General features: G+C 34.7%; 1 annotated feature.

The window, feature by feature from the left end:
• Positions 7,363–8,562: an enhancer, noted in NCBI's record as "MED14-independent group 3 enhancer chr11:25987090-25988289 (GRCh37/hg19 assembly coordinates)". NCBI's record gives its function as "activates an origin of replication core promoter dependent on BRD2, BRD4, P300/CBP and CDK7 cofactors, and independent of MED14, by STARR-seq in HCT116 cells {active_cell/tissue: HCT116}" and the evidence as "EXISTENCE:reporter gene assay evidence [ECO:0000049][PMID:35650434]".

Raw genomic sequence — 8,956 nt, forward strand, 5'->3', positions numbered from 1 at the left:
CTCCAGAAGTTTGCTGAAACTTTTTTAGAGCTTATCTATTAAACAGCTGGAGTTCCTAACTTGTCAGCTTATGTTAATTATGAGTTATCTCACCTCATTTTATTTTAAAAGAAAGTCTATGCATGAACTACTTCTAACAATAAGAAGAAATTAAACATCACTAAACAGATGTGAGCAATAAAGCATAAAAAAATTATAAACTTTAAAACATATTTGTTGAAGGGCTGCATGTATTTAACATAAACGTAACCACCAAATAGTCTTTTTCTGAAAATAGCTTTGCATTGTCTGAAAATAAACCTTATTTAGTCTGAAGAATTAATTCCAGAATGAGACCTAACCCTGAGGAAGGTGACTGGACTTTGAAGTCAGAAAAACCTGACTACTGATCCCAGCTTAACAGAGAATAGTGGGATCCCACTTAATTCATGTCGCTTCTCAGAGTTTCAATTTCCTACTATATCAAATGGCTCACACCATGAACACTTACATCCAAGGGTTTTTGTTAGGAATAAAGAAAATAAACGTAAAGTACTAGACCCCTAATAGACAACATATCCATGGCAGATGTTTCTTGAAAATTGATTGTTTTCCTAATGATTTCTATCTTGCTCTGGGAGAGCTTGTATCCAAAAAGGATTCACTCCTCTTTATGGTAATTTAGAAATATGTTAGAGACTCATTTTCTAGCTCTTAAATATACTTCAGTGACTGTTTAAGATTACATTATGGAATGTTCCCTAATACACTGGTTATAACTTTCACTTGTCTTTCCAGTAAAAACAAACAAACAAACAAAAAACGTGGAGCCAAAACCTTTATGGTATATTTCAGATATTGTCACAGCCCAAATCCCATGGTGAAATGTCATCCTCAATGTTGGAGGTGAGGCCTTGTAGGAGATGATCAGATCACAGGGGCAGAGTTCTCATGAATGGTTTAGTACCACCCTCCTGGTGCTGTATCTTTGCAACGGTGAGTTGTCTCGAGATGTGGTCACTGAAAAGTGTATGGTACCCCCCTCTCTACCTCTCTCTCTCCTGCTTTTGCCATGTGACATGCAAGCTTCTGCTTTGCCTCCCACCATGACTGTAACCTTCCAGAGGCCTCTCCAGAAGCAGATGCCACTATACTGCCTGTCCAGCCAGCAGAACGATGAGCCAATTAAACCTCTTATAAATTACTCAGTCTCAGGCATTTCTTTACAGCAATTCAAGAACTGCTTAATATACTACATATGACGAAGAAGCCAAAATAAGCATTTTGAAGGCCTCAATTTAAAAAAATCAGCATGTCATAAACATAAGAAACTAGAGTAAATAATATGTTTCCTGTAAATCAGAATTTCCAGGATGTATAGTTTCTATTAACCCATTTTTCCATTCACTTCAGTGGTATACAGGGCACATATATAAGTGGTTTTGCTTCCATTTCATATATATATATATAAAATTATATATCTCATTATATAAAATGTATATATATATTTACATAATGCATAATGTACCACACCTCCAATACTATACTATGTTTCCATGACATTTAACATGAAAACATTTTAAAATTTAAAAATAAGAGAAAATGAAAACAAATACTGTCTTCGCTTATTTGAGAAAAAAATTTGCAAGACAAAAATGGAGCAGAATGAAATTAAATATTATACAAAATGTGATATACGTATGTATAAATAACACATTTTGTATAATGAGATATATAATTACATTACATATCTCAACTATATATATAATTCTGATTATATATCTATATATATAAAATATAGACATGGAATCAGCTCAGGTGCCTATCAATGGTGGACTGGATAAAGAAACTTGGTATATATAGATATATATCTATCCCTTTGTTCTTTATTTTTCTAGCTCCTTTAGGTACAAAGTTAGATTGTTAATTTTGGATTTTTCTAACTTCTTGGGAAAACTTGGCTATATATATAATATCTATATCAATATATAATTATATATCAATTATATATATAATATATATGATTATATAGATATTATATATAATTATATTGATATAATTATATATCTCTATATATAAATTATATATTGATGTATAATTATATATCTATATATAAAAATTATATATTGATGTATAATTATATATCAATATATAATATCTATATATAGTTGAAATTTTATACATACATTTTGTATAATGAATTATTGTAATACATGATTTCTGAAGTATTTTATTATTAAGTAATATTTTCATTAAAGAAGAAAAAAAAGAAAAGGAAAGGCAAGAATCCTAGGTCACAGAAAGGTCACAGAAGAGTATCAGCTATGAAGGTGGATGAGGATGGCTAAGCTGGAATATCAGCTCTGATTATGGTCTCCTTGATTTTCCATGTATTAATGTATGTTATAGCACTTATATATCTACAATATACCTCTTCTCATATCCCTAGAATATTGATAAGTGTTTTATATATAATATTTTATTTAATTCTGACAAAATCTTGTGAAACAGGATCCAGGCTCAAGAGGTGTCTTTTCCACTTTGCTCCATTTGTTCAGGCACTCATTCAGACATAGAGTCTACCTTGTTTGAGGGATGACACCAAGCATTAGACACAAAGTGATAAACAACTTAGCTTTGACTTGAATGTTCACTGTTTACTATCAGCAGAAGATATGAAAGATGTGATATTAGCATCTTCTATTAATTGCAAAAATAAAGATAGGCTGAGGAAAGATTGGTCCACTTTAGATGCACAGAGCTACAGAGAAGGAGAGTTCAGCAGGACTGCCAGCAGGACAAGTGACTGGTAGATGGAGATTGGAGGTAAGTTCAAGGAAAATGTTGCAACATGTGTAAAGCAAAGATAGGAAATAGCACATACGTGGAAGTAAATACAGCATTTTGTGATTGGGTGCATGGTAGATGGGACAATAAAAATAGGTAAACCCCTATAAGAATCCTAGAAACCACCACATATCCAGCACAATACTATTCATGTTTCTCTGACATTTGACATGAAAACATTATAAAATTGAAAAACAAAAGAAAATGAAAAAAATTGTCCTTGTTTAATTGACAAAAAAAATAGCAAGACAAAAATGGAGAATTGAACTAAATATCAATTGTAAGTGAACTAGAGATTATTTTACATTACATGTCATTATTCTAAGAAAAATTGCTTGGTTGGTCTAGTGCAAAACGGATGAACTTTGGGAAGGGTAAGACCTGTGTTAAACTGCCAGCTCAACTAATATCTACTCTAGTTACCTAGCCTCTGTTCATTTTTCTTTCCTAATTTATACTCTGGGACTGGTAGCATTTATAGACAGGGTTTAAGACTAATAGAGATGGGTATAGAGTACATAATGTATTTTAAAATATTCTAACTAAAATATAAAATATTTTTTAAATGTATATATTTTTACTGTTTAAAAATATTTTGTACTTTAAAACAAGGAAAAATTATGATCAGATATATATGATCAGATATATAACACTTCTTTTCGCAGTAACTCCTAGCAGTGAAAATGCATGATGTCTGCGTATAGCATTCAGAAAAAAACTACTGCCATCTGGCTTTTAGCAAAGTGTTTGCACTGTTGAGCAGAGCGATAGAAAAGAACCCTGTAGTTCTAGAATAGGAACATGTAATCTTAGAATTTTTAACCATTTTAGACAGTTTGCCATTTAGGCGATGATACCAAAAAGGAAAAAAAAAATCAGAGTTGCATTAGCCCACATAGCTTGACTTATCCTCTCATAGTTTCCTTGGCTTTGGTCTGACAAATTACGCCTGCAAAAATCTTGGGTCCTAATCAGCACAATGGGGTCACATAACCATAGTTTTCATTAACCTGATTTCAGGTTGGAGGCCACTGCTCCTTTTACCTATGTGTGTCAAAATATTTATCAAATTATAGTCCTCTCCCCACACACAAAATGCTTCATGCATGTCACAGAAGATCGTGATAAAGAACATTTTATTTTTCATGCCGTTTATAAGAATAATATAAAGAAAGGCTTTGCAGAAATTAAAATAATTTATTCTCCTGTTATTGCTAAGAAAAAAATAAGCAAATACATGTTTCAGTAGTGTTAAAAGACCCCTACTGGTTTATTAAACTTATTTTCACCATTCAAACAATTAAATGCAAGCCTGAAAATAAAAATTGAGCTCTTACTATGCATAAGACATTAACACTGTGTGATATAAAATGTTAGATTAGACATAAATCCTGCCCTTTTCAAATTGTTCCAAATCTAGTGGAGGAAATAAAATGTAGAAAAACAATGTTAGCAAAAAGTCAGTGCTATGTCAGAAATACAAAAATATTATGATTTTTAAACTATAAATATTCATGGAAAACCTTCAAATGGCCCTACAAAATAGAGGATAAAATGAAATAGAAAACAAACACACAAAATATCAACTCATTAACAAAAAGGTAAAAAATGAAGCAATGCCGACATTGTACTTGGGGTAAGTAGATAGAAGTCTAGGTCTGGCACAGTGGCTCACACCTGTAATCTCAGCACTTTGGGAGGCTGAAGTGGGAGCATCACTTGAGCCTAGGAGTTTGAGACCAGCCTGGGCAAAAAAGTGGGACCTGTCTACGTACAATGTTTTTTTTTTTTTTTTTGAGACTGAGTTTCGCCCTTGTTGCCCAGACTGGAGTGCTATGGCGCGATCTCGGCTCACCGTAACCTCTACCTCCCAGGTTCAAGCAATTCTCCTGCCTCAGCCTCCCGAGTAGCTGGGATTACAGGCATGATTTTTTTTAATAGCCTGGCATGATGATGTATACCTGGGAGGTAGAGGCAGCAGTCTTCTGTGACCATGCTACTGCACTTCACTCCAGTCCAGATGACAGAGCAAGATCCTGTCTCAATAAAAAAAAAGTCCAAATACGTCCGTACCCACAACAAATATATATTACTTAAACATGCTAGGTAAAAGTCAGTGTTTGTCTAATTGAATAGAATAAGTACATTTTAACAATATATCTTAGAGATATATACAAGGATAGACGTGAAGTAGAGAGGAAAATATAGACAAAATACTAACCAGAGAATACCAATACAGCTTTATCAATATTAGATAACATATACTGCGATAAAACATTTGTTTCAGGAGAGTTACAATATATGGATAAAAGGCTAATTACCAGGATGATATATAAATTCTAACATATGTGTGCTTAAAATTTGACAGACGTGCAGAAAGAAATGTACAAATACGGCATTTTGTGGAACAATGTCAGTAATTGACTCTTAAATATAAATAGCTAAAAAATTGATAAGTGTTTAGAATAGTTGAAGACAATAAATCACTAATAAAAATTTAAATTTATTAACATATGTAAAATCCTACACATAAATTAGGTAATATACATTCTCCTCTAGTATACATGGAATTTTAGCAATATGGGTCATAAAAGAAGACTCAACTTTAAAAAAAAATTTATATTCTAAAACTCATATTCTATAACCAAATAAAATTAAATTAGAAATAGAACTATCCCCCATATACTTCTAAATTTAACCAATAGATGTTTTACATTCTCACCACAAAAAAAGATGTTTGTGAGATGATTAATACGTTAATTAGCTTGATTGAAGTATTCTGTAATGTATACATAGGTCAAAACATCACATTATACTCCATAATGAAACAAAATTATTTGTCAACTAAAAAATAAATTAATTAAAATACACCTAAAAAAATCATGTAACCAAGAGAAAATTAAGTAAATTTTTTGGTAATTCTTAGAACTTATAATGAAAATGCTACGTTTCAGATTTTCCAACCGCATCTCTAATAATGAGACAGCAAGGTGGGAAGGGGTCCCCAGAGAAACTCCAGCCGACCTGGGCACTGGGAAGAGCGCCACAGAAGTCATGCTGTTTACAGTGGGGAGGAGCCTGGTCCCTCCTCTTCCTGGGTGGAACCTGGGATTCATTCTGTGAGGAGGCAAATGCAGGAACAGATCTCTGACCTTGCGGAGAGTCCCTGTTCCCCTTTTTTCCTTTTCACCCAGTAAACCCTGCCCTCCTCACCCTTCAGATTGTCTGCAAGCCTAGTTTTTCATGTCCGTGTGAAAAGGACCCCCATCTTTAGCTGAACTAAAGAAAGAGTCCTACAACAGTAACTTACAGAGTAAGATACATGGCCTCAAAGTTTTTATATTCAAAAAAGAAAAAGAGTAAAATAACATGCTAAGCATCTGAAGTATACTACTTAAAAAGTACAAGGTAAAATAAAAGAGGGTTAAAGGTATGTGATTATAAAGCTAAAAGAAGAAAATTTGAAACAGAAAACAGAGCTGAAGCCGGACGAGGTGGCTCACACCTGTAATCCCAGAAATTTGGAAGGCCGAGGTGGGTGGATCAACAGAGATCAGGAGCTGGAGACCAGCCTGGCCAACATGGCAAAACCCCATCTCTACTAAAAATACAAAAATTAGCTGGGCTGGTGGCATGCACCTGTAATCCCAGCTACTTGGGAAGCTGAGGCACAAGAATCCTTTGAACCTGGGAGGCGGGGGTTGCAGTGAGCTGAGATGGAGCCACTGCACTCCAGCCTGAGCTACAGAAAGATTTACATTTCAAAGCAGGCAGATAAAGAATTTACAGTTGAATATTTTCTAGAGTTAATGCTCTAAGAAAACACAAGTGATGATCCTATATTCAGGAAGAAGTCTGTTTGAAGTTGAATCAAACTGAGGAGAATGTTAATACTCTTTTAGAGTATTTTTTTGTTTCTATTTCTGAAATGAGGTTGATAGTTTTTTACAATTTTAAAAAGTGGGCACAATAATGATGAAAAGTTGTGTTTAAATAAGAAATTTATTCCTTTTGGAAGAGTATTGACATACTTGATAAAGGAGGTGAGAAGTCTAGAAACTGGGTCTATCTTATAAGATGAATGGGATTTTGACCTGGAGAATAAAAGACTACTTGAGGAAGAGCAATTAGTCTTAAATGACATCAAATAGTCTTAAATGACATCAAATGGAAAGAGGTAACAGAATGGAGGTCGGGAAGCATGGAAAGTAGTGTGTGTATTACTCTAGGGAGAAAGCTTCAATAGTTGAAGGCTATGTTGTATTAAGTTGATGACAGTTTCATCTCCAGGCAGAGGAATTTCAACTTTATCGTTTAGACACTGGAGAAGAAAAGTTGGTATCTAAAGAGTACTTTTTAAGTTTCACCTGAGTCTCACAAATAATTATTCATAGAGTTACTATTTAAAATTTCAGTCATTGTCAAACAATTCTGTTAAAATTTCATATAGCATTAAAACAATAGCTGAAAAATTCATAAAATAAGCCTTCATAGGTGTTTCAAACTCCATTGCAGAAGTGTCTAAAAGTGTTAATACATTATGAGATAAAAGTAATGTAAATAATATCTATTCAAGAAGAGAATGAGCCCATATTAACCATTAGAAATAGGAAATTAATACAAAAGTATTTTGCAGACAAATATTCCTTTGCTAAATTGAATAACTAATTCCTACGCAACAGGTATTTGTTATTATTTCAATGTGAAATAAATCCTTGTTTACATCAGAATAAGTTTGAGAAATTACACCTAAATCCACGGCTTGTAACTAAATTGTTTGTAATTTTAAATTCTTTAAATACTTTAAAGATTTTTTAATAATCTTACATCTGATATGCAGAAAGAGTTTCAACTGCAAACAGCATTCAAAGAGGGACCAAGTAAGTGTGTTTAAAAGTTGGAAAAGAGGTTTAATGGGGGGAAATGATTTTTACCAATTTAAAGATATAGATCAACACAAACAGTTTTGTTTTCGAGGGAGAATGATGAGTATTATAATATTATTTGCTATTTAAGAGTTCTTACTACGTGCTAGGAAAATGTAGCTGCATCATATACATTGCTATACATTACATCACAACAACTAAAGCCATCACAAATTAAAGATAAGCATATTGGCTCAGAGAGGTTAAGAAATTTGCCAAAAGTTACACAGCAAATACATGATAGTGTTACCAGGGGGTCCTTGCTCCCAGAGCTCCCAAGATGGTGGTGGGCCACTTCCAAGATGGCGGCAGTCAGCTTCCAAGATGGTGGCAAGCCTCGTGTTCTCTGACCTGGGGTTCTTGGTCTCACGGATTCCAAGGAATGGAATCTTGGGCCATGCGGTGAGTGTTATAGCTCTATTAGAAGCCATGGGTCACGGAAGGGAACCGTGGAACCCAGTGACTAGTGTTCAGCTCAATTAGGACAAACCCGGGCACTTAGCCGTGCAGGAACAATGACAAGCCTTTAGCCTGATCGGGAGTGGCAATGGGCACCTTGCTGGATCAGGAGCACAGCAGACACCCTGCTGGATCCTGAGGGATGGAAGTCAGTGGCAGGTCTGCTACGACGGTGGCAAACAGCAGTGGTGGACAGCGAGCCAAAGCTCAGCTCGAGCGGTATCAAACATGGACCAGAAGAGAGTGCAGTTACAAGATTTAACAGAGTGAAAACAGAGCTCCCATACAAAGGGAGGGGACCAAAAGAGGGTAGCTGTTGCCGGCTCGAATGCCTGGGTTTATATCCCGATCATTGTCTCTACCGCTGTGCTCTCAGGCAATAGATGATCGGCAATTTCTTTACCTCCTGTTTTAGCCAAATTAGCGTTTTAGTGAGTTCTCTTTACTACCCGATTGGTCAGGTGTGAGCTAAGTTGGAAGCCCTGTGTTTAAAGGTGGATGCAGGCACATTCCCAGCTAGGTTTAGGGATTCTTAGTCGGCCTGGGAAATCCAGCTAGTCCTGTCTCTCAATAGTGGTCACTCTACCATCTACTTTCTTTACCCCTGGCAACACTGAATCCCAAGTATGCGAGTTTTCAAAAATTAAACAGGAAAAAATTTATATTTAAGTGAATTTTTAAATTATTCATATTAGATTATATAGAACCTCCAGGAAACATTGTAACAATTCATCTCCACAGGAAAA

This window comes from Homo sapiens, chromosome 11 (assembly GCF_000001405.40).
Source record: "Homo sapiens chromosome 11, GRCh38.p14 Primary Assembly".
In the NCBI taxonomy this organism is placed as follows: domain Eukaryota; kingdom Metazoa; phylum Chordata; class Mammalia; order Primates; family Hominidae; genus Homo; species Homo sapiens.